This window comes from Homo sapiens, chromosome 19 (genome assembly GCF_000001405.40).
Source record: "Homo sapiens chromosome 19, GRCh38.p14 Primary Assembly".
Taxonomy (NCBI): domain Eukaryota; kingdom Metazoa; phylum Chordata; class Mammalia; order Primates; family Hominidae; genus Homo; species Homo sapiens.
The window spans coordinates 29,082,092-29,107,367 of record NC_000019.10 but is presented as its reverse complement, the minus strand read 5'-3'; the positions used below and the strand labels follow the sequence as shown (position 1 = coordinate 29,107,367).

Below are 25,276 nucleotides of genomic sequence, written 5' to 3'. Positions count from 1 at the left end.
AGACATCCATGTGTGGTGATATGATGCTGTTTCTGGTCCAGATGCCACTTCACAGCAGAGGCTGCTTGAGCCATGTCAAATGGAGGATGTCTATGATGTTACAAACATTGTAAAATGTGTCCAAGAAGGAGTTTTGAGAACTTCTCTGTCACCAGGACTTATGTATGTATGTATGTATGTATGTATGTATGTATGTATTTGTTTATTTTTAGACAGAGTTTTGCTTTGTCATTCGGGCTGGAGTGCAGTGTTGCAATCACTGTAGTCTCGACTTCTTGGGCTCAAGATGTCCTCCCGCTTCAGTCTCCCAAACAGCTAGGACTACAGGCTTGCACCACCACATCTGGCTAATTTTTTTGTTTTGTAGAGATGGGGACTTGCTATGTTGCCAGGGCTGGTCTTGAACTCCTGGGCTCAAGTGATCTGCCTACCTCAGCCTTCCAAACTGTTGGGATTATAGACATAAGCTACCACGCTTGGCCTGTCACCAGGATTTAACATCAACTTAGCTGGCATTAAAATTCCCCAGCTTTTCCTCCCCTAGGCCTTGGTTCCAGCTGTTTCTCCTGCCTGGGATGCCTCCCTCTCAGCCCAGTTGCAGAAAGCCAGCAACACACCGCTCCCACTGTTGGTTAGCAGTGACTCTTCCCCAAGGTGGGGAGCGCCTTTGTGGCTTCCTGAGCAGGTCTTGTGCTCTGTTCCTGCGTTCCTGGCTTCTGGGTACCTCTCAGGCCCAGCCCCTGTCTAGAAGGTGAGCTTCCCTGACACAGGTGTGTTCAGGGGCGGAGCTGGTCAGGTGAGCAAGGCGTGCAGGCCATAGTGGCTACACAGGTCAGGCAGCCCTGTTTAATCCAGTCTGCTACCAGGAGGGAATGCGGGCCCAATGTGGCAACATTTTCAGATTTTCCAGAAATCCTGATTTCTACGGGAACTCTTCTTTTTTCAAGTTGCACAAATTGCAAAATTCTAGAGTTCAAACAAAATACATGTAGCTAGTGAACAGCATGCACCAGACAGTTGGGGTCACTCACCTCACTTCCCATCCTCCAAGGCCCTTCTAATGTTCCAACGTCCTTTCCCTAAGAGGCTCAGGGAACCCTGAAGTCGAGTGGAGACAGTCAATGTGAGGGGAGCCTGCGGAGGGCTGGGAAGGAGGAGGAGGACCAAGGGGGTCAGGGAGGTGGGGATGAACAGTGATTGGTTCTGGGTTCCACGGGCTCTTCAAATTCTGACCTCTACAGGTCTCTCTCTGTTCCCTCCCTTGCTCCAGTGACTAATTAATCATGCTACTTAGGAATCCTTCCTGCTGTGAAGGAGATTGAAAGGGATGGAATGGAGAAGTCCCTGTCCTCCACACCAGGAGAGCTGCTGGACTATGGACTGGGGGCTAGGAACCAGGAGTCCAGGGGGTGGGAGCCTCTGGAGGGCTCCACTCCCCATTTCCCTAATGAGAAGGTAACACTCCGTTGCCAAGCCCAGTGCGGAAGCTTCAGTGAGCTGCACTTGCGCTGGGCGCCTCTGCCTGCTAGCCCCAAGCATCAGGGAGTGCCCTGAGCTATCCAGGCATCCAGCCCCACGAATTAATTAAACCCCAGGCAGGGCAGGACGCTAATCGTAATTCACACAGCCTCATCAGGGCCCAGCTTCTCAATGGTAAATCAAGACGAGGAAAATGGTTTATTCAGGGTAATCCTAGTTAAACCAGACAAATTTTCTCCATATCCCACTGGCCCCATTTATGGAGGAAGGGAATGTGACTAGAATTGTTGAGGGGTAGTCTGTTTCCCAGAAGCCTGCACTGAGAGGCACTGAGAGCCCTGCCTGCAGCACCGTGGAGCTGTGTCGGGGCCCCTCTGCTTTCTTCCCTATGGATCAGGGCCCCTCTGGACCTCTTAGTGGAGCCTGCGGGTCACTGAGGACTGGGTGAAGCACTCACCCTCACCAGCATCAATGTCGGGAACCACTGAGGGTGGCAGGGGTGTATGTCGGGGGTTGCTGGGAAGAAGGTTGTTGGCTGCAGGGAGACAGGAGAGTCCAGAAGCTGCTTCCCTACAAGGGGGCCAGAGCTCCCCTCTTCTCTGGAGACAGAAGATCCTGATTCTCTGAGATTCCAGGGCTGTTCCAGCTTTGGATGAATCTGAAGAGAAGGGGAGAGTCCACTGGGTAAGGCCTCCTTCTGTGAGCACAGGGATACCCTAGACCCTACAGTTTGCCCTCTGAGCAGCCAAAGCAGTGGGTTCACAGTCAAGTCCTTCCTGTCTCTCTTTATGTTTTCAAAGTGCTCTCCAGACCCTGTCAGACACGCACCTCTGACGTCATCTCCCACCTCTCCCCCATCTGCTCCAGCCCCATAGGACAGTGCGTGTGTGTGCATAAGTGTGTATGTGCATTGTGTGTATGTGCATGTGTGTACACGTGTAGTGCATGTGTGTGCATGTGTGCATGTATGTGTGTGCGCTTTGCATATGCATGTGCATGTGTGTGTGCATAAGTGTGTATGTGCATTGTATGTGTACATGCATGTGTGTGCATGTGTGTGTGCAAGTGTGTGTACATGTGTATTGCATAAATGTGTTTGTGCATTGTATATGTGCATGTGTGTACGTGTCCGTGTGTGCATGTGTATGTGTATGTGCATGTGTGTGCATGTGCATGTGTGTACGTGTCCGTGTGTGCATGTGTATGTGTATGTGCATGTGTGTGCATGTGCATGTGTGTGTGCATATGTGTGTGCATGTGTATATGCATAAGTGTATATGTGCGTTGTATGAGTATGTGCATGTGTGTACGTGTGCATGCATGCACACGTGTGTGCATGTTCATGCATGTATGTGAATGTGTGCATGTGCATGCTTGTGTGTGCGTGTGTGCTTACTGTTTTTCAGACATGCCGGTCTTGGGACAGCTGTGCCTACATTTGGGCCAGGACTCATTGTTCCCCAGAGCCACAGCTGGCTTCTTCACATTGATTCAGGTCTATGTTCAGAGACCTCCTCCTCAGAGAAGCCCTCTCTGTGACCCAAAGGCTCTTAGCCACATCACCCTGTTTTATTATATCCTCCACAAACTGATTCCAACCCAAAATTATGATTTTTTTACTTGTTTGTCTATCTTCTCAGTGGCAGCAGGGACTTGATAATGTATAAAATCCCCGGTGTCTGGCTCAGTGGCTGGCACTTAGTGGACATTCAAAAGATAGCTGTCGGACAGAGATGTGACCACTGTCAGGAGTGTGGCCTCAGAGCAGGGAGTCCCCTGGCCTAAGCTCAGGTGAGAAGTGCCTTCTCCTGCAGGTGAAAGTTTGGCTCCCACACTTCTGTAAGATGGGTACTCTTCACCCAGCAGGGGCTTCTCCTTCTACTTCAGGATCAGCTCAAGTGCTACATCCCTTGTGCAGCCTTCCCTGATTTCTCTACCTCCCTCCTAGGACTCATTCTCTGCTCCTTCCACAGCCTCTTGCTGTATCACACTATAACGCCTCTTGCTCCGTGCAGTGTGCCTGTGTACTCATCTCTGCTTTGATGCCTCTCCCACCCCGCTGACCTAGCCCAGACTCTCCGGCACAGGAGCTCAGAACGGGGTTGGGAAGTCAAGTGCTGGAGGCGGCTGTGAGAGGGCCCAGAAAAGTCCATTCCTTATTTGAAGATGACCATCGTGTGAGTGCCTCAGTTAGATACTGTTCCTACGTGTCTTCACGTAAGAGGGGAGGAGAAGACACGTGTATTCCTGTGTCTTCACATGTCTTCAGGGAGGAGAGCAGGACACAAAAGGCTTAGGGACATTTTTGAACCTGACAGCTTAGAAGTTCTCCCGTTTCATCTTCTGGGTTTTTCTGCATCTCAGCTATCCCTGCTCCTGGTTTCCAGACCTGCTGCTCCAGACAGGGCATTGCTTTTACTCAAGACCTTTCATTCTATTGAAACTTCACTGTCCCACATCCTACTGTTCTGTAAGTCAACTGCATTACCAGAAAGCTCTTTCAGACAGAGCCCTGGGGAGATGACCATGCCTGGTGGTGGAGGGGCTGGGGCCACTCTTTCATGGAGAGACCTTCTGGAATTGATCTTAAACATGGAAACTTCGGGCATACACCCAGTGAGCCTACCTGGCAATGGTTGTGGGGGTGGCTATGGAGAGACTTGGAGTGCAGTGAGGAATGGTAACTGTTGGGGGAGGCCATGGGCATGCCAGCTATTTGTGAGGGTCTCACAGGGGACAAGTTGCAATGCCATCCATCAGAGAGTGTTTGGAACCCTCTATCTCAACCTTCTGTTTTTCCTACCACCTGGTCTCTGGAGATCTGGAAAGGGTGCTGTTTAACGGCAAAGCCAGATGCAAATGCATATGGAACACCTTTCTCTCCTCAGTACTGGCAGGTCTCACGGTAGGAACTGTACTAGTTTGTTCTCACCCTGCTCTAAAGAAATACCTGAGAATGGGTAATTTATGAGAAAAGAAGTTCAATGGGCTCACAGTTCTGCAGGCTGTACAGGAAGCATGATGCTGGCATCTGCTCAGCTTCTAGGGGAGCCTCAGGAAGCTCACAATCATGGCAGAAGGTGAAGGACAGCCAGCACTTCACATGGCCAGAGCAGCAGGAAGGGAGAGATGGGGAAGGTGCCACACACTTTTAAACAACCAGATCTTGCGATCACTCACTCACTATCACGAGAACAGCACCAAGAGGATGGTGCTAAACTATTTATGAAGAACCACCCCCATGATCTAATCACCTGCCACCAGGGCCCACCTCCAACACTGAGGATCACAGCTCAACATGAGATTTGGTAAGGACAGATATAAACCATTCCAGGAGCCATTTGGAAGGACCAAACAAAGACTCACTTTAACAAGAAATGTAAGATGTCTGTATAGGAACTACCCTTTACTTATTACCCTGGAAGCAGAACCCAGTTAGGTGAACTGGTTGGGCAAGTCATCATTTATGTTAGATTCTATAACCTAAGATTGGGCAGAGGACAAATGTGCTTTTAGCATTGTACAGCCAAAATTACATTAGCAGAGAGAATTGTCAGGAACTCTGAAGGTAATGAGATTTTACCTTACTTGCAAGATAAGTTAGTGAGTAGAAAAAACACAAAGTTTTTCACATTCTTGCACTCAATGACAATCAACACAGAAGAATTCAGTGGAAAAATGTTGCATTTTTTTATTCCCATGCACCAAGCAAGCAATCAATTCTGCATCAGACACCAGCTGGGTGTCTTCCAATTCAATTCTGACACTGTCTAACTGGAGATAACATCAGATCCCACAGGTTGAGGGCTCAGTCCCAAAAGACCATCCCACCCTACTTCAGGCACTAGTAGAAAGTCTGGTAAATGTAAATTAGTGTTTATCTGCATTCTGTGAGCCAGTCTAGCAGGTTAATTGAACCCAAAGAGGGGACCTTGGAAACCCCAACTTCTGACCAATTGGCTTCAAGTTGGGGGTTCCCAAGACCTCCTCTTTGGGTTCAATTAATCTGCTAGAATGGTTCACAGAACTCAGAGGAACACTTACTTACATTTACCAGTTTATTATAAAGAATATTTCAAAGGATACAGATGAAGAAATGTGTAGGGTAAGGTATGGGGAAAGGGATGGAGAGCTTCCATGCCCTACCTGGGGTGCACCATCCTGCAGGAACCTCTGTGTGTTTGTCTATCTGGAAGTTTTCCAGGAACTAGGAGAGGAACTCTGTTCTTATGGGTTTTTACAGGGGCTTCATTACATAAGCATGATTGCCTAAACCACTGGTCATTGGTGATCAACTTAACCTTCAGCACCTCCCCACTTCCTGGAGTCCCAACACTCTAATCCTGCCTTGGTCTTTCTGATGACCAGCTTCTCTCTTGAAGCTATATAGGAGCTCTCAGCCATCAGCCAATTCATTAGCATACAAGAAGACATCACTTGGAAGAGTCCAAGGAATTTAGGAGTTGTATGCCAGGAAATGGTGTCAAAGACCAAATATATATTTTACAACATCACAATTAGCCTGCCACAATTTCATGGACATTGGCAGAGGACAAAAGACTCCTAGGTCAGAGACAAAGAACTTTATTACTCACAGAAATAGCAATAGCCCAAGTATCAACATTTTCTTGTGCTAGTTTCTTGAGCCCTGACTCCCACATGGTGATGGAAAAGCCAGGTGACATCTGCACACTCAGTGGACGTGTTGCAGGAGAGGAGCTCTGAGCTTTGAGAACCTGGATCTTTTATGTTGGGCAGTAAGCAAACCTAGCCTTTGCTCTAGAGGGAGACATTCTCTTTACCTTCCAAGGCTGTTCACTATACAGTGATTCTTTTTAAGATTGTTCTGAACAAAGGCAGCCAGTCCCTCTGCTCACAAGACATGCAGAAACATGAAAGACCCATAAGGACAGGAATATTTTATGTCAACCCAATGACATAATTTTCTTCCCATGCACCAATGAGGGCTTCTGCAGATTGTCTTTTGCAGTATAAAATGTGACTCGTTTACTTTAGATGCTCTGGAACAGTTGAAGAAAACAAGAAATAAGGCAGACTGCAACACAGACTAGAAGGTCATGCTATCCCTTCTCTAGCCAACAGTGGAAAATGACAGGGGAAGTAAGCCACGCCTGGGGCTGTAAACATACCAGACAAGAAGAAACTCAATTCTGGAACGAGGGTAGAGGGCTGATGGAGACTTCATAAAGGGAGAAGCTGAGAGAAGATGGCCTTCAGGGAGACAGGAGTGAAAGGAGATACAGTGTTTTTACTGGGGGCCAATGCCCAATTTTTCACTTAATTCTGTTTATTTTGAGTTTTATCACTGGAAACAGAAAGTTCATTGAATCATCTCCAGGATTCTAAGAACAAGGGGTCATATGGGCAGGAAAGAGCTCTCCCCACCGCATGCTCCATGCAAACACCTTCAGGTAGGAGGTAGGGGGATGAATCTCCTGCAGGGAGGCAGTGGTTGTGATTCTCTTGGTATTTATTCCCCCTTTTCTTCAAAAGGATGGAGAAAGACAGAGAAGTGCAGAGACAGTGCCACAAAGAGAAGGAGCTGCTAAGTCACACCTGGCTTGAAGGGGGCTTTCTTGGCTCCCATATTGTTGCTGCACACCTAGGATTCAGCCTAGATCCAGTTACTTGCTGCACAGAAAGCCAATCACTGAAACAATCAGTATTGCCAGGGAAGAAAGGCTTTGTTGTGGGTGACACCAGCCAGAAGATGGGAGACAAGTCTCAAATCCATCTCCCTAAGTGACTATTGTCAGGGGTTCATTTAAACAGGAGCTGATAACAGGCAGCAGGTGGCCTCACCACCTGGATACAATTATCTGGAAAGCTTTAGCTCCCTGACACTACCTGGAAAGCCTGATGGTCAGCTTCCTGAAAAAGGAAATCGGACAAATGTAAATTTCTCAAGCTTGAAGACTGGGAGGGTCAACTTCTACATTTATTCAAAAAACCCACAAACATCAGTTCTATGGGAAAATTGGGCCAGTTTCAACAGATGGGCCAGTTTCTGCGGACAGCAGCATCTGAGTCAAACACCAGGATAGGGCTCAGCAAAGCACAAGAGTGGATGACAAATTTGCTTCTTGACATGATAATTCACAGGTAGCTGCAAACTCCTGCAAGAGCCTCACACATCCTCTTACTGGGAATCTGAAGGCCAGTTCTGGACCTGTTGAGTAGGAAGAGGAACATTTGGAGATGCCCACCCAAGATTCCAGACTTGAGAGACATGCTAGCCTCTGCAGCCTATGTTTTCAGAAAGCAGCAGCATGGAGGCAGGGGTGTGGACCACCCTGTCCCTGTCTGGCCCTGGGACTTAGAACCCCTGCCCTTGGCGGTAGGCATGTTCTTCCATGTGAGACATTATATAACATTCACCAAGGCCCAGTGGCCTCAGCTCCATGGGATCGGAGAGGCCAGGGAGCTGTGAGTCACACTTGCCTCAGAGCTGGGTGGGGCTCTCCCACTCAGCGGCAGGCAGCGTGCATTCCCATTCTGTTGTAAGCAGTGCAGCATGCCCAGTCACACTGCTTCCCAATAATCTTTCATAACAAACATCCAGGGCGTTTCAAGCAGTGCCAAGTGGGCTCTGAAGTGGAAACAGGGAACCTGCTCTGAAGCATAGCAGCTCTGCCACCTTCCCACTCTCGGGGCACTGCAGGGGGTGGTGGGGGGTTAGTAAATGGATGAACACCCTTAATTGCCTTGCCTGTGGGCCAAATGTGGTTAGTGAGAAATAAGCTCCTCAAATACAACATGCTGGAGCTGGATTTCACAATCAGCTGTGATATGGACATGAGTCCAGAGAGGAGTGGTAGGGCAGGGCCGGCAGTGGTGCAGGCACAGGCGTGGCCTTGGCTGCCCACTGGACTTCAGGACAGCCCTCCAGCCAGCAGCATCATGGGGGCAGGGGGATCAGCCCATGCACTTTGGCAGTTAGTTTGAGGAGTTTCTGAGTCAGCGTACTAAGAACATTTTATTTAGTGTCACCGTGTCCGAGGTCAATGGACTTTCATGGTTATCTCATCTTACATCCCTCTTTCGTGGTTGGAGAGACTGAGGTCTGGGCAGACAATTTAATAAAAATAATTCAGTCACAGCTGTCTTTCTTTGGGACTATCCCCATTTAACAGATGGAGAATGAGGCTTGCTGCAAACCTGCCGGTCAGTGAGGGGCAGAGCTGCGACCTCAACCATCAGCCTATGGAAAACAGATATCTGCCCAGTTCCTGGGATCTGTGCTTGTCTCAGTCCATGTTCCTATAAAGGAATACCTGAAACTGGGTAATTTATAAAGAAAAGAGGTTGATTTGGCTCATGGTTCTGCAGGCTGTACAGGAAGCATGGTGCCAGCATCTGTTTCTGGTGTGGCCTTAGGAAGCTTCCACTCAGAGGGGAAGGTGAAGGGGGAGCCGACATTTGCAGAGATCACAGAGCAAGAGAGCAAGAAAGGAGAGGTGCCAGGCTCTTTTCAGCGACCACTTCTCACAGGAACTAAGAGTGAGAATCACACCAAGCCACACGTGGGGTATCCACAGCCATGACCCAGATACCTCCCGTCAGGCACCACTCCCAACGCTGGGATCCAACTTGAACATGAGACTTGGCAGGGCCACAGGAGTGCTCCTGAAACAAATGTGACATAGCTGGGCACCCGTTACAGGCTGAGCACTGCTTTAGGCACTCAGGTGACGGTGGAAAGTAAGATGGAAAGATCCCTGTTCTCACAATTTCCGCAGAAGTTACAAGGAGATTTGGTTCCTGGGTGCCAAGGCTTGGCAGTGTTCGAGGATACCCCACAAGGTGCCATCTGTAGGTAAGGCAACAGTAATTCCCTTGAGGACTCAAATTTACAGAGATCCCAAACAGCATACATTTGAGAGACATTTTCTCCAGACAAAGAGGATGAGAAGGAGAATATCCCACCCAGAGATCATACTCAGAACTTAGGAAACAGTTCTTCTCATGTTATTGTATTTAGATGGTTAACATTCTTTGTTCTTTCTCGTTTTTCATCTACAGTGTCATTCTCATCAAGGGAGCATCTTTCTCCTCATTAAAATAGGAGGGGAGATATTCAGAAAGATATTTAATTTTACAGTGCAGGGAAACAAATACTATTTATTTATTAGTATAATTAGGACAAGAGACAAAACATATCTCAGATGTCTTTGAGCCTTTTATTGCTGCAGATATTGTCTTTCAAAACATCTGAAAATTAAGCCATGAAGCAGCATTTACATTCCCCCAATTACCAATGGGATGAGTTTCCCTGGGAAGGAGAGGGGAGTGGGGAGCTGCTGCAGCTGGATCATATGCACTTTATTCATTAGGCAGTAATAAGAAATTTACCATTTTCCATAAAGGGGCTATTTCAGATCCCACCAATCAATGAGCCAGGTGGGAAATTCTGCACCCGTATTTGCATGAGGGAGCAGAGTCACACCTCAAATATTTAAGCTAAAACTCTTTAATAACAGCATAAAAGCAGAGCAGGTGTTAAATTACTGCAGGATTTGTGTTGTCATCCCAGCCCAAATGTGGATGCTCCTGAATGACTGTGACATTTCTGCCACGGGGAACTGGGTGACCCAGTCCTGCTAAGTCTGGCTGGGCAGGCTCTGGGGCCAAGGTGATTGAGGACTATGCATAAGAAAAGAGAAGTGCACAAGAAAAATCCCATTCTTGAGGAATGAAAGCTGACGGTCATGCCTCTGGCTGCTCTGCCTACATCATCCAGTCATACCAAGAACAGAGGACAGTAAGCTTCTGCACATGTCAAAGATGGTTTGCATCAGATGTGCTTATTTTGTGTGGCAGCCATACCTTCTTCTGGTAAAAGGATCCCTGGTTCCCTTTGGTTCCCTCTGCTCTGTTGCATGCAGGCTGGCTGCAATTGTCAACCAGGGCACCCTGCCACTCTCACTGCATTAGGCAAGGAATAGGAATGTGACAAAAGACAGCCCAGTTGGCTTCTTTCTTGGGACTTCGACTCTCAAGGTACATGAGGCAAGGATGAATAGAATGGTTAGGGTTGATGAGCTGCCAATTAGCCCCGCCTGCCTGGGTCCCTGGAGTGGCCCCTGTTTCTGTTTCTTGCATGTCTCTGTCTCGGTGTTCCTTTGATTTGATGCATTCTGTAATATCTTCCCATTAAATTTCACTTTTGCTTAAGCTAGCCAGAGTTGATTTCTGTTGCTTGCAATTAAAAAACCTTGACTGATATAAAAATAACAGCAGCAACAACAACAGTTGCAGATGTTGTTTATTAAGAGCAGAGCTTTATAAGATGTTACCTCATCTAATGGTCACAGAGTCAAACTAAAGTAGGTATTATTATTGCTATCTTATAACATGGAGTATTCAGAGTCAGAAGCAGCCCAGGCCCAGTGGTTCTTTAAAAGCCTGGCTTGTGATCCCAGTGAATTCCTCTATATCAGTCAGAATTCCTCAGAGAAACAGAACAAGTAAGATAAATATGTGTAGACAGATAGGTAGGTAGATGTGTGGATGAATGGATGAATGAATGAATAGATGGATGGATGGATAGCTAGAGTTATATATATAAGGAGAGATTTATGTTGGGAATTTGCTGACATGATTATGAAGGCCAGGAAGTCCCACCATAAGCCATCTGCAAACAGCAGAACCAGGAGGGCTGGTGGTAAAGTTCAGTCTGAGTCCAAAGCCCTGAGAACTGGGGGAGCCAATGGTGCAACTCCCACTTTGAGACCAAAGGCCTGAGAACCAAGGGGCACTGTCGTAAGTCCTGGAATCCAAAGGCCCAAGAACCTGAAGCTCCAATGTCTAAGGGCAAGAAAAGATGGAGGCCTAAGCTCAAGAAGAGAGAGAATTCACTCTTCCTTTGCTTTTTTGCTCTATCTGGGCCCTCAATGATTGGATGATGTCAGCCCACCTTGGTGAGGGCAGATCTTTACTCAGTCTCCTGATTCTAAGGCTAATCTCTTCTGGAAACACCTGCATAGAGATACCCAGAAATGGCCGGGCACGGTGGCTCACGCCTCTAATCCCAGCACTTTGGGAGGCCAAGACGGGCAGATCACCTGAGGTCAGGAGTTCAAGACCAGCCTGACCAACATGGAGAAACCCCATCTCTATTAAAAATACAAGATTAGCCGGGCATGGTGGTGCATACCTGTAGTCCCAGCTACTCGGGAGGCTGAGGCAGGAGAATCACTTGAACCTGGGAGGTGGAGGTTGCAGTGAGCTGAGATTGAGCCATTGCACTCCAGCCTGGGCAATAGGAGCAAAACTGCATCGAAAGAAAGAGAGAAGGAGAGAAGGAGAGAAGGAGAGAAGGAGAGAAAGAAAGAAAGAAAGAAAGAAAGAAAGAAAGAAAGAAAGAAAGAAAGAAAGAAAGAAGGAAGGAAGGAAGGAAGGAAGGAAGGAAGGAAGGAAGGAAGGAAGGAAGGAAAGAAAGAAAGAAAGAAAGAAAGAAAGAAAGAAAGAAAGAAAGAAAAAAGAAAGAAAGAAAGGACCCAGAAATAAGTTTCCACCAGCTCTTTGGGCATCCCTTATCCTAGTCAAATTGACATACAAAATTGACCATCACACACTCTATATGGGGTCTCTAACTTGCCCTGCAGTCTTTTCTAGAGGGATGACTGCATGGCTCAAGTCCCCAGAATCAGGGTGAAAGCAGTTTCCAAATCATCTCCACTGATGGCAACAGATGGACCTAGAAGCTTGGGAAGGAGTCCTCCCTGATTTTAACCTCCCATTTGAGAAGAGTGTGTGTCTTCCTTCTGAATTAATTATTTATGGAATCCAGAAATCTCTAATGAGAAGAAATAAATTCTCAGTGGGTTTGGTTCTCTGACTTCAGAGGGCCAAAAGCCTGCCATTGAGAACTGAGCAGAAACAGTGCCCAGGATGAGATGAACAGGGGTGGGATGCCTCTGGATGTAGCAGGTCTATCCTGTGACAGAGTGCAGTCCTGCACAGTAGCCTTCAGTGCTGGCCTCCAGTCACTCGTGGGTGAAACCCCTCAAACTGAGGCCCAGTTTGAGATCAGCCCTGTTCTGAGGCTGCAGACTCAAGTGTCTACAGAAGCCAAGGGACAGCATGAGTGAAGCGGGTCCCTACAGTTACCACAGCAGCGGGGGTGAGGTCTGTTCCCATAGTAAAGGCCTCAGGGGGATGCCCTTGATCTACTCGTGGAATTTCAAGTCTTTCAACATTTGGGGATAGAATTGATTTGGAGGCAAGGGACTCTTCCAGTTAACATGAGGAGAATAACATTTTATTTGCCAGATTTTCTTAGAAGAAGAAAGCACACTTTTTTAGAAAAACAAAACGTTAGAAGAAACAAGCATGCTTTGACACATGCTTGTTAGGAGAAGAACTGTCCCACCTGTCTGAGAACTACCTTCTAACTAATTGCATTGGTAGCCAACAGTTACAAATTGGGCATTTCATTTAAAAGCCTGAATTCCTTCTTTCTTTTTGTGCAGTACATCTTCTTAGCCCAGATTAGCTAATGGGCAGATGAGAGCAAGGCCCCATGAGGCTGGGACATGGGGTAGGTACTGGGGTGCCGTGAGGGTGGCTGAGAATAAAAATGCATCAGCAACTTCACTGTTCTGTTAAGGACATGCATGTCCTTCACACAGAATGTTTAATTTCTCCACGAGATGGCCGTGGCTTAGAATAGTCTATCAGAGGCAGCAATCAATTTAGAGACACCTGGGCCCTCACCAGCAATTCTGGCTCCTCAGGTGAGCCTGGGGATGTCTTTCTCATGGGACAAGACACATTTCTCTCCGGCAGGCCAAAGCCTGCCAGATAGCCGTGTTCATATCCAGAGCTGGCTCCCAATCCCAAAGACAGCGCTCCACTTTAACTCCAGAGGCACTGGCAGTGTGTCGACATCCTTGCCCAAAAGATCGGAATAGTCTCAGTTATTTTGGGCAGGCTGTGTTAAACAGGAGGTTCTGATCTAATAGTTGGTCTGTGTAAATTGTCTTAGGAGTAATTTCATTTGCGTAACATTTGCATTCACATTTAAATTCTCAACTATCTGAAGAAGAAATAGTCATTAGACACAGACTGGGCTTGCCTTACTGTCCCTGTGACTACCACTTCCCCCATGTACACCCCTGGGCTGAGCAATATAAGGTCAAGGGTGGTGAATGGGATTTTCCTGAAGAAAAATGGGTTGTCAGTATGTTCCTTCCCACACCTAACTGCCCAGTAACAGGAGGGCGGCGCTGAGCTCCCGGAGGCCTGTCCTTGGAAATCTCCACCAAATCACTAAGACTCCAGCGAAGAGCCAGGGAAGAGGCGTATTTTCTCTCCTCTTCCCCCACTGGGGTGTGTAGGGAGGAGGAGGTGCGGTCATGCCTCCCAAAGCTGCACAGGCATCAATCAGGACTGAAACAGTCCAGGCAGGCGGTGCGTCCTGGTCAGTTCAGGGCTGAAACAGTCCAGGCAGTTCAGGACTGAAACAGTTCAGGCAGGCGGGGCCTCCTGGTCAGTTCAGGGCTGAAACGGGCCGAGTAGGCGGGGCATCCTGGTCAGTTCAGGGTTGAAATATGCGGGGCAGGCGGGGCATCCTCGTCAGTTCAGGGCTGAAACGGGCCGCCCGCGTAGGTGGGTCATCCTGGTCAGTTCAGGGCTGAAATGGGCCGCGTAGGCGGGGCATCCTCGTCAGTTCAGGGCTGAAACGGCCGCGTAGGCGGGTCATCCTGGTCAGTTCAGGGCTGAAACGGGCCACGTAGGCGGGGCATCCTGGTCAGTTCCGGGCTGAAACGGGCCGCGTAGGCGGGGCATCCTGGTCAGTTCCGGGCTGAAACGGGCGCGTAGGCGGGGCATCCTGGTCAGTTCAGGGCTGAAATGGGCCAGGTAGGCAGGGTATCCTGGTCAGTTCGGGCTGCTACAGCAAAGTGCCATACCCTGAGTGGCTCTAACAAGCAACCATTATTTCTCGCAGCTCTGGAGGCTACAAGTCCAAGGTCAGGGTGCCAGCGTGCTCAGGTTTTGGTGAGGGCCCTCTTTCGGGTTGCAGGCAGCTGATTTCTTGTTGCATCTTCACATGGCAGGAAGACAGGGAGGGAGCTCTTTAGGTGGGGGCGGGGGTCTCTTTTGTAAGGGCGCTAATCCCATTTATGAGGTTTCACACCCCCATGACCTGCTTATCTACTGAAGGCCGCAGCTCCAATGTCATCACCTTGGGAGTTAGGATTTCAGCATGTGAACTTTGGGTGGGGGGGTGGGTGTGGCACAAGCATTTGGTCCATTGCACAGCAGTCGAAGGGAAGCATATGCTTTGTCTAAAAGGTGCAGCAGCTGCGAAAGTGCCCAGTGTTTCACATCTTCTCAATTTTCTCAAGAGAATGAATGTTGTGGTTTTTCTGTGAAATCTCTAAGTTTTAAAAATGTTGGTGAAGGGTCAGGTGTGGTGGCTCACGCCTGTAATTTCAGAGCTTTAGGAGGCCCAGGCATTTGCTTTTGCTTTTGCTTTTGCTCAGGAGTTCAAGACCAGCCTGGACAACATAGTGAGACCCTGTCTCTACAAAAAAAATTTTTTTTTAATTAGCCAGGCATGGTGGCACGTGCTTGTAAGTCCCAGCTACTTAGGAGCCTGAGGTGGGAGGATCATTTGAGCTCAAGAGTTGGAGGCTGCAATGAGCTGTGATAATAATGCCACTGCACTCCAACCTGGGCAACCAAGGGTGATCCTGTCTCGAAAAAACAGATAAATAAATAAATTAGTAAAAATCCAAAATGTAAATATGCAATGGTGCCACTGCAGGCTGGATCAGAACCACAGGCCATCCATGATGTGTGATCTGGGCCAGCCCCTCGGGATGGATGGCTGCTTTTTGTACCATCTACATTGTCAGGAGAATGGGACCATGGTCTAAGAGGGATAAGCTTTTATAAGACACTTTGGAGGCAAACAAGAATTTCATTGTGTTTATGCCAAACACCGATGGTTTCAGTGCCAGAGGGCATTTCATCAGTGCTGCTGGTGGCAGGTGGCAATGGGAAGGGTCTTTAATTTGGGAAGTTTAGGAAGCTTCAGTTTAGATACTGGGATCATTAAGGCAGAGGATACTTTGAGCAACTTTTGAGCTATAACTCGATGCTGTTAGAGTCCAGAAAAGGCCCTGGTTTTCCATCCCAAGAAAAGCAGCATGAGTGGCTGTGCAGGCTGTGCTTGTGCCTGGCCTCAATGGCTCCTGAGCATTGCTCCAAGGAGACATTGGCTCCTGGAAGCTCTGGGGGCTTCTGGGAAGACAGGACAGCTGATTCGTTAGCATGCACTTTATGAAGCTGCACGTGAGTGTCACACTGTCAGATTCATTTTACAGCTCTCCAAATGGTAAGACTTTCTTGAATGTTTATGTAGGCTACGGTCGGACCATAATTTTAAGTTCTTAAAGCAGAGTTGCAGATGATAAGGGCTGTAAACTGAGAGGAAAAGCTGGCACATAACTGCCATGCTAATGGCTGCGACCTAATGCTCTGGAATGGTATTTACGCAGAGTGCTCAGGATGAAATTGACAATGTAATGTGAGGGCAGGGGGCCTCTCAGTGGAATTTCTTCAGAGGCCCATTTACCCAAGGTAAAGTCAGGGAGGGGGATGTTTAAACAACTGTTCCCAGCTCTGCTGTGGTGCTGTCTCTAGTGAACCAAAAGGGAGGCTTTACCCAAAACATTTTTTTTCCTCATTAAAAGAGGCTCAGAATCAATGTAAAGAAAAAAATATATAGGAAAGAAGAAAATGAGAAAATCCCAATTCATCTTGAAATTTACCACTCACAGATCATCGGAACTAACATTTCAGTGTGTAACCTTCCAGGATGTTTTCTGTGTGAGTATGCACACATGCCTACACAAACCCATTGCCTCCTGTGCATTCCTGGAACTGGCTTGCTCCTCCCAGCACTTGAGCATTCCACACCACGATGGACCGATGTAATTGTGGCTAGGTTGTATTCCATGCTTTGGAACAAAATCCAACTTTGCCCTTCTTGTTGGAAATTTTGGGTACTTCCAGTTTTTATAAGCACAAATAACTCTGCCATGATTATCCTTAAGCCTCCCCTCCTGCACATTTCTGATGATTTCCTTGGAATACATTTTTAGAAGGAGAATTTCCAGGGCAAAATGCATGCGGCTCTGTTTATACTGGTCGCACTCTGCAGATTTTCTTTACTCCCATGGCCTCGTGTCCTCTCTGTGCCAACCACATCCAAATCCAGCTCCATAGCCGGACCTGTAGCTTCAGGCTTCTAGACCCAACACTCTTCACTGGCCATCGTCTCAGCCACTTAGAGTGAGCATGCTGAAAGTGGAACTCAGAACCTCCTATCCAACCCACCATCTTCATAATCACCATTTGCAGGGGGCCCAGGATGGAAGCCAGGAATCATAGTCAGTGTCTTCCTCCCTCTCACTCCCAACCCAATAAATCCCCAAGTCCTGGAAATGCTTGCCCCTAAGCATGTTAAATCTGTCTGTGTTTTCGTTTTATCTGGTACTACCCAAGCCCAAGACACCAGCTTACGTCCAGGGATTTCTTTAGAGATTTTTAAACTCTACACGTTCTCATGAGAGATGAATGAGCCTGATAAACACATCCAAACCAATGTGATGGGACATGGAGATTCTCTATACTAGAAAGCCACACTTTAAAAGAACACTCAGGCTACACTTGATCTGAAGACTGGTGAGCCATTGGGCCAATCACGGCATTTGATGTGTAGAGATTTTTGAAATAAGGAACCTTCTGATTTCTTCTGATTGGAGATATTGAGTTAGCGCCTCTCCTACATTTGAGGCTGGCTCCATTCCTCATTCTCCGTCTTCAAGACAGTGTCATGTCTGAGTGACTTAGGTGGGGTTCTTTGCAGCACCAAAGGCTGGACCACGGCCCTGTACTGGTGTCCACAGCTCAGGACCTTCTCCTCTGCCAACAGGAGACCTTCCCAGACACAAGCTGGACTCTACTCCCTCAGTGACCCCAAGGCTGGCTCAAGTCCTGAGCACACCAAGCGCTCAGGAGGTGTTTAAAGGAATCCAGAACATGGTTTAGGCCCACGCTGCACTGGGGGCCCGGCCAAGATGAGAAGCATGGCCAGAATCCCTGGCCTCCAGACCTGAGTGACTTAGGGAACTGCTCATATAAGGAAGCCCTGGCCACTGTCAAAGAGACAGCTGTGGCTTGTGGCATATGCTGCCTGCACAGCCACCTGCCACATCTTCCATCTTAGCTGCCTTTGAGCAGGCTTCAGATAACAGGCAGGGACTCAGCACATGTATTCAGGCCAAACACTGCCTGAAGAATGTGTTCATAAATGCCTGGCTGTCCCCAAACCAGGGGTTGGCCTGTGGGCGTGTACCTCTTGGTTTCCTGTGTGTTCACAGTCACCGCAGTTCACTGAAGGATCTTGGAGACGGGACTGTCGGCCTCTGATTTTGCTTTTCCCACAGTGCCTGCCCCATCGTAAGCTCCCAGGTGCCTGTACACAGGAGGTACTCAGCTACTGGGCTGCCATGCTCTTTGATCAGGGGTGAGAGGGGGTCCCCCTGAAACTCTACCAGGAGAATGGGCACTGCTTTGGTTAGTGGCACTGAAATGAGTACATGTGGAGGTGCCACTCTGGAAGCTGGGCAGGCCTCAGCCCATCTTGGTAAGTTGCAGGAAATGCTCAGCTCTCAGCAAAGCAAATAGAGCCATGAGAAGTTGGTTTCTGAGGAGCTGCACAGAAACAACACTCAAGGGTTTATTTATGTCCTTTCTCACAAACACATCAAAATGCATTTGGACAATTCAAAGTCCAAAATGAGTTAAAAATAGCGCTGGGGGACAAAGCCAGCACAGAGAATCCATTAGTGCCGATCCACATTAATGACCTCCAAGGCCTTGGCCGCCGACAGCAGGGACTGGAGGTTGGGAGCCGCCAGCTGCGGTCACCACACAATCCTCCTACACGGGCTTGGCCCCAGGGATAAGAGACTGAACAATATTCGCTTTCAGCCTGAGCTGGGGTGAGGGGGTCTCTACCTCATCTGAGCTAAGATATGTCTTTGGGGCTAGGAGAATCTGGGGACAGAGCGTTGGGGGTGGGGACATCCTGCTTGGCTTGCTGGCATCAGTGTGGGGAGGGACTTTTCTGGCATGAAGAAAAAATAAAACTCTGGGATGAGGCAGAGTTATGGGAGCTGATGGGGAGGGCACTTCAACCCGCGCCTCCCACCCCAACCCCCACCAGCTGCAGAGAAAGACCAGGTGTTTTGTTTCCCATCAGTCACGGGCCAATATTTTTGCAGAATTCAATAAAACTTGAATTATGAGAAAAATGAAATTAAAAGAAAAGCCATACAAAATACAAGCCCCCAATTTCATGTTATTGGATTGAACAGTCATACTCCATGACTCTGTCAAATGGCTGCGGTGGTTTCTAAACACTCCGGATGTCAGTCTTCATCGTGACCACACTCGGCAGCACAGCAGAAGGCTCCCGCCATTCCTGGGCTCTCCCACCTCCATGCCCTTGCTCGGTGCCCCCTCAGCCGGGAATTACCTCTCCTTACCCTGTCTCTCCATGTAGAGTGGAACATCTTCTTGGGCCCAGGGCTGAGTGTCCACATTTGCCTCTCTCCTCTCCATCCCCAAGATGGCTTCAGACAAGGACCTCCCACCTCTCACCTAAATCTACCTGCCACCCCGTGGCTGGGGCATCTGTGTCCCTTCACGCGCCCTCCCGCCCTCCTTCCAAAGGCTGCCAAACAGATCAACGTCTTAAATCAAGCATTTCCTATCACATCACCTACCAGGTAAGGTTCCTCAGCAGCTCACAGGCAACCACAGGCCTGATCCCAAGTACCTAGACTGTGGCCAAGGCCCCACCGAGCTCCTGCTGCCTCCCTCCCTCCAGGCCCCCCACTGCACCCTCTAGCTGTCCTTGGATATGCCTTGTTCCCCCTGGCCCCACAGACTCCATCCATGTTGTTCCTCCAGCCGCATCTCCCTGTCTCCTTCTCCTTCATGTGGGGACAGATCCTGTGTGATTTCACACCCAGGCCCTTGCCCCTCCTTGGAGACGCCTTCCTTGCTTCTCCCACCCCCAGATCTAGGTGACCCCATGGAATAGTCCTCAATCCTTCTTCTAGCTCTTGTCACCCTGGAGTTTATTTTTTTCCCCAAATCCTGTTCATGGAGCACTTCTTGGGGACAGGTCTTTGAGTGCGGCATCTGCCTCCCCTCCCCGGGTGCGGGGCCTGTCCTCAGGAGCCACTCCTGAGCTGTGTGCCCAGAGACCAAAAGAGACTGGAAGGCAGACACAATAGTATCGTCACCCCAAGAGAAGTGAGAAGATCCGTGGAGGCCGGAGTGAGGAGGGGTGGGAAGGCATCCCCTCAGGGGAGGGGCAGGTGCCCACCTGGCACAGATGTCCAGATGCTGAGATAATCCGGGGCCTGGTAAATAAATACTGGCTTCCTCACCTCTGGAGTAGGACACCTTGGAGGTGTGTCTCACACAGCCTCTCTCCTGAGCAGATGAGTCCTGGTACCCACGGTGGGACCCTGGTCTCTCTCCTCCCACCTGGTTTCCTGCTCCCTCACAGGCCTCCTGGGATCACCTCCCACCCAAGATTTCTGTCTTGGGTGCACCCAGATTTTTGTCTCAGGTCTGTTTCTGGAGATCTGGAACTAAAACAAAGAACCTCCCGGCCACCACCCTGGAGTCAGCATCTAGTACCAGAGATGGAGAAAAAAAAAAAGTAGCTCATTGCAAGTCGTAATAAAGGTTCTGAAGAAAATGAACCAGGGCAAAATAAAATATCACACAGGGCCAGTCAATGAAGGCCCACTGGACACAGTGACATTTACAGATTTGCAATTGTATGCAACAAAGCTTCGGTACAGGGCAGCGTGTGGGGCTCGGAGGGGTGGCCGGTCCTACCAGGTCACAGAGCATCTCACAGAAGTGGAGACTGAGCCGCATACAGTGGTCGGAGTGTTGGACAGCTACGCAGAACTGAGAAAGCCTGCCAAGGCAGCAGGGGTATGGTTGAGCCTGAGCCGCCAGAAAAGCCACCTTCCACGGGGCATGTCTGTGCGGCAGGCCCAGGCTCACTGTGTCCCATGCATGACCCCTCTAGAGGCCCACAGCAATTTTCTGGGCTGTTCCCAGTCCACAGAAGAGGAAACCCAGGCTCAGTGCCTTGCCTAGGGTGTGAAATCAGGGGAGTGAGAGACGGGGTGGACCGTGGTCACCACTCACTAGTGATTCCATTTAGGTCCCTGTGCACCAGGGTTCCCCGTGGCTGCCTCATTCCAGGACCTGAGCACCACCGATTGCGCTGGGTATGGCTCTTTCCAGGTTAAACATTAACATTAGTATCTGTCCCATGTGAATGTGTTTGTGTTGGTCAAGATGAGTGTGATTTATGTGCTTGTGAAGGTGTCACCAGGTGTTGGGGACCAGACAGCTGCTCAGCACCTTGCCCTGTGACATGCACCGCAGCACGTGCTGGATGACGGAACAGCCATCTGTGCTTCTGCTGCCGGTGAGGGACAAAGGTGAAGGAGAGCCAGGGAATGGGCAGGTGGCAGAATGAGGCAGTCCCCTGGGGCTGCCACCATCCCAGGAGCCAGGCTGGAGCCACCCCACAGGCAGAACCAGCACTGCCACCCTACAATGGACAGCCCAGTGCCCACAGCCCTGCCTCGCCAGGGAAGCTGCAGTGTCTCTCCAGAGCTGAACCTGCCCAGGCCTCTGGAAGCTCCAGAGCTCCAGCCTGCTTGGCACCTCTCTCTGTGTGCTTGTCTCTCCCTGTCTCCTCACTGTCTGTCCCTGTCTCTGTCTGTCTCTTTGTCTCTGTTGCTCTCTGTTTCTCTGTCTCTCCATGTTTCTCTTTCTCGTCTCTGCCTCTTTCTGTCTGTTTCTCTGTCTCTCTTCTGGCTGTCTCTCTGTCACTCTCTGTCTGTCTGTCACTCTCTGTCTCTGTCTCTCCATCTCTTTCTTTCTCTCTGTGTCTCTGTCTCTCGTCTTCTCATTGTCTGTCCCAGTCTCTGTTTCTCTGTTTCAATCTCTTTTGGTCTATCTTTCCTTGTGTCTGCCTCTCTCTGGCCCTCTGTCACTCTCTCTGTCTCTGTCTCTCTCTGGCCGTCTGTTACTCTCTGTCTCTCTGTCTTCTATTTGTCTGTCCCAGTCTCTGTCTTCCTCTGTTTCTGTCACTTTGGATCTATCTTTCCCTGTCTCTGCCTCTCTCTGTCCATCTGTCCCTCTCTCTGTCTGTCTCTGTCTTCTCACTGTCTGGCCCTGTCTCTGGCAGTCTCTCTCTGTTTCTCTATCTTGTCTCTGTCTCTCTCTGTCTCCCTGTCTCTGTCTGGCTGTGTCTGTCTCTAACCTCAACTGCCTCCTGCCCTGCCCGCATCACAGCCCTTGGCGGCCTCTGACTGTCCTTCTCTCCTCACAGTTTCATCTCTGTTGGCTACATCTCCAGGAGCCTCCCTCCCCTGGATGTCCAAGGCCCCTCCTCCCTTGCGGGTTTCCCTGAAACCTAGGCCAGAGGCCAGGACCTGAGAGGTGGGGCAGAGTGAGGGAGCAGGCAGCCTACTGGAAAGGGGAGAATGTCCCACCAGCGTGCCTTCTGGAGCCAGCACCCCTGCGGCCACTGGGGCTCAGTTCTGTGAGCTGCCTCTGAAAACCTGCTCCTCCGTGCCTAGGACATGCCCACTCTGCAGCATGGGGCCTGGGCATGTGTTCCCACCCAGGCCAAAAACTCTGCTGCACTTCTGGGTTTTGCTGGAAGCAGCAGAGGGAGCTCCACAGAGATGGGGAAGGGCCCAGGGAGGAAAAGTACAGAAATTCAGAAGGTGCTTGAGGTGGGAGCTGACCCTGGCAGGAGAGTTGCAGCTGAAGTCTGAGCTGGGCCAGGGACGGGACACAAAAACATCGTTTACAACTCCTTGTTGCCTGCAAAACTACACCGGGGACCCTCAGTGCAGCATCTAAGGCCCCCAAGATGTGGCAGTAGCCAACATGTCACCCATCGACTGCAAGAGCTGCCTGCCCCTCATGCCTGGCAGCTCCCCGTGTCTGCCCACCTCCTAGTCTTTCTTCTCTATTTCCACACCCCGATGTCCCCGACCCCAGCCCCTCCTTCTGCACCCGTCTCATACCCACCTTTCTTTCTAGTTCTGCTTCTACAGGAGACCCTTTCAGGCCTCTCTAACCCAACGTGAGGTCTTTGTTTTGCTCGCAGTGTCTGAACCACCGATTTGTCATTTATTAGATCTGCTCTGCCTTCCTCTTTCAGCTACTTCTTCAATGTGCCTCCTTCAAGACTGCAACCACCTAGAATTGGCCAAGCTCAGCGCCAGGGACCAGGGCATGGAGACACAGCCCCTGCTGGCGAGAAGCTTGCAGTGCATGGGGATTTGATCCCGGGGGAGCCTGAGTTCTTCAGGTTGAGAATTGTCATCCCTGCGGTGTTCTAGAACCCAGCAAGTGGCTAGCCCGCTGAAGGCACTGTTATCAGCTCTCATTTTCATTCTGAATATGCAGCTTCTCCCTCTTCCCGTTTAGTCAAAATCCCTCAAATAAAATGATATCTGCCTTGCCAAACCTGGTCTCCACCCCGCAGCCTTAGGGGTTGGTGGAGCCTCTGTAAGCCTGGGCACCTGTGCAGTTGACATTAGAAGCAATGGAGGAGGACAGGTGACCCATTAGAGGTAGAGAATGGATCACTCAGGGCCAAGGAACTCAGTCAGAACTCCCCTGAGATGCGACTGCATTCTCATGGCAACGGCAACCCTTCCTCTGATTCTGCTGCAAGAATTCTCCCAGATGCTAGCCCCCATGGTGTCCAGAGGCTGGATAGCCCCTTTGGGAGGCTGCAGGGATGCTGAGACCCATTCCAACATCAACATGATGATTCATTCCGGCATCAACAGTGTCCCCTGGCCAGACGTCCCCAGACAGGTGCCAGGACATAGTGCTACAAAGAGTACGTACTAAACCCAGAAGAGACCTGGCAGTTTCATTTGTCTTTCTGCCAATCCTTGGAACAAGCTAAGATGGGATTTTTAAAAAGTCCAGTCAACTAAAGGCTTGGATAGATTGGGAGGTTCTGATTTTTAAAAGTTTTTAAATTGTGAAATATGTTCTGTCTTAAAAGGTATGTAATATTTTTATAGTTTAAAATAATAAAATGAGCAGTCGTGAACCTACTATCCAGTTTAAGAAAGAAAACATCATCCCATGTGCCCCTCCCAGACTCATCCCTCCCCTTCCAGGTAACCATTACCCTGGAGTTTGTGTTCACTGTTCTTCAATTTTCTGCATAGCTTTCACAAACTGCGTGTGTTCCTAAATAGGATATTTAGTCATGCCCATTTCTGAAACTGAAATTTAAATGTTTCCACTCTATATATGTGTTTTGCAATATGCTGTTTTTGCTCCATATTATGCTTTCAGAAATTTACCCATCATAATGAATATAACTGTTAATTTATTTCACTGCTATATAGTATTTCATAACATGCATTTATCCAGTTTGCTGTTAATGGTTACTTTGGTTGTTTTCAGAGTTTTGGGTTTTCTTTTTTTTCTTTTTTTTTTTTTGCCTTTTTTTGCTTTTATTAGTCATGCTGCTGTTAACCCTTTTGTACATGGCTTTGGGGTACATATACCCCAAAAGAATTATTATTCTCAACACCAGCACCACCCTTCTGACAAGTATTTTGTGATGTTCTTTTTACTATCTTGAAATAAAATTCTTGAAATTCTATGGGTAAGTGCTATCTATGGTATAGATTTTATCTATAGTATAGATAGAATGCTATCTATCTATACTATAGATCATGTACTATAACCCACTTACCCACAGAATTTTAAGAAATCAATGTAATGCTCTGAATGTGATATAAAAAAGAAATAAGACAAAGCAATTTATAATAAAAGGTGGTTGGACCAGTATGTAAAATTTGAGGAACAATTACATCAGAAGCTAGAATAACAATGTCAGATGTTTGCACCTGTGGGTAGAATTACCATGATTGTTCCAGCTACAAATGCAAACAGTCATAGGTGTTTTGGGTTGATAGCCCAAATACCACGTACGAGATTCCCAGCAGAGAAATGATTTTCTATAATGTTAATCAATTCTTGGTAAAGTTCTAAACAACAATAACAACAGAAAGCACAATATCCCTTCAATAAAAGGAATATTTTTCAGAAAAGTGGTTGCCTTCCTGAAAAATTCAATATGTTAAAGACAGGAAAACAATGCATTTGAGTTTTTTTTTTAACTGTTTATATGTAAAATAAAGTTAGAGTTAGATTGCAGGATCAGGTAAGTATCAACAGACATTCACTTGCATAAATTATGTGGTCCCACATGTAGTCATGTGCAATGCAGGCTAATTCATCTTTAGGCGGAAATGCCCCAGAAACCATATGATGTTTAGCATTCCTTGCTCTACTTACTAAATGCCAGTAGCACTCTTTACTCATTGTGACATTTGCAGGCTTCCAAGACTCCCTCTAGGGTGTGGTAATGCCTGCATTAAGAACGACTCCTACAGTATATACTTAAAGAGTGGAATTGCTTGGTTAGACAGTAGGTGCATATTTAACTTACTAGGTAATAACAAATGATTTTTCAAGGAGGTTGTATCAATATGCTATCCCATCATCAGTGCATGAGAATTTCTGTTGCTCTTCTTCCTTACCTACACTTGAAGTTGTCAGACTTCACAGTTTTCCCTGTCTGGTAGGAGTAAAATTGTCT

General features: G+C 48.5%; 1 long non-coding RNA gene across 1 annotated transcript, besides 1 other annotated feature; it reads left to right on the top strand.

Moving 5' to 3' along the window:
* Positions 1-14,316: 14,316 nt before the first annotated feature.
* LOC124904682 (uncharacterized) lies at positions 14,317-24,274 on the top strand. Its single transcript, XR_007067213.1, has 2 exons — positions 14,317-14,474; positions 22,802-24,274. It is a non-coding gene; the product is annotated as an uncharacterized LOC124904682 (long non-coding RNA).
* Positions 20,565-21,066: an enhancer, noted in NCBI's record as "H3K4me1 hESC enhancer chr19:29577209-29577710 (GRCh37/hg19 assembly coordinates)". NCBI's record gives its function as "activates a minimal SCP1, AML or CMV promoter by ChIP-STARR-seq in primed H9 embryonic stem cells {active_cell/tissue: H9 hESC(primed)}" and the evidence as "EXISTENCE:reporter gene assay evidence [ECO:0000049][PMID:30033119]".
* Positions 24,275-25,276: the final 1,002 nt, after the last annotated feature.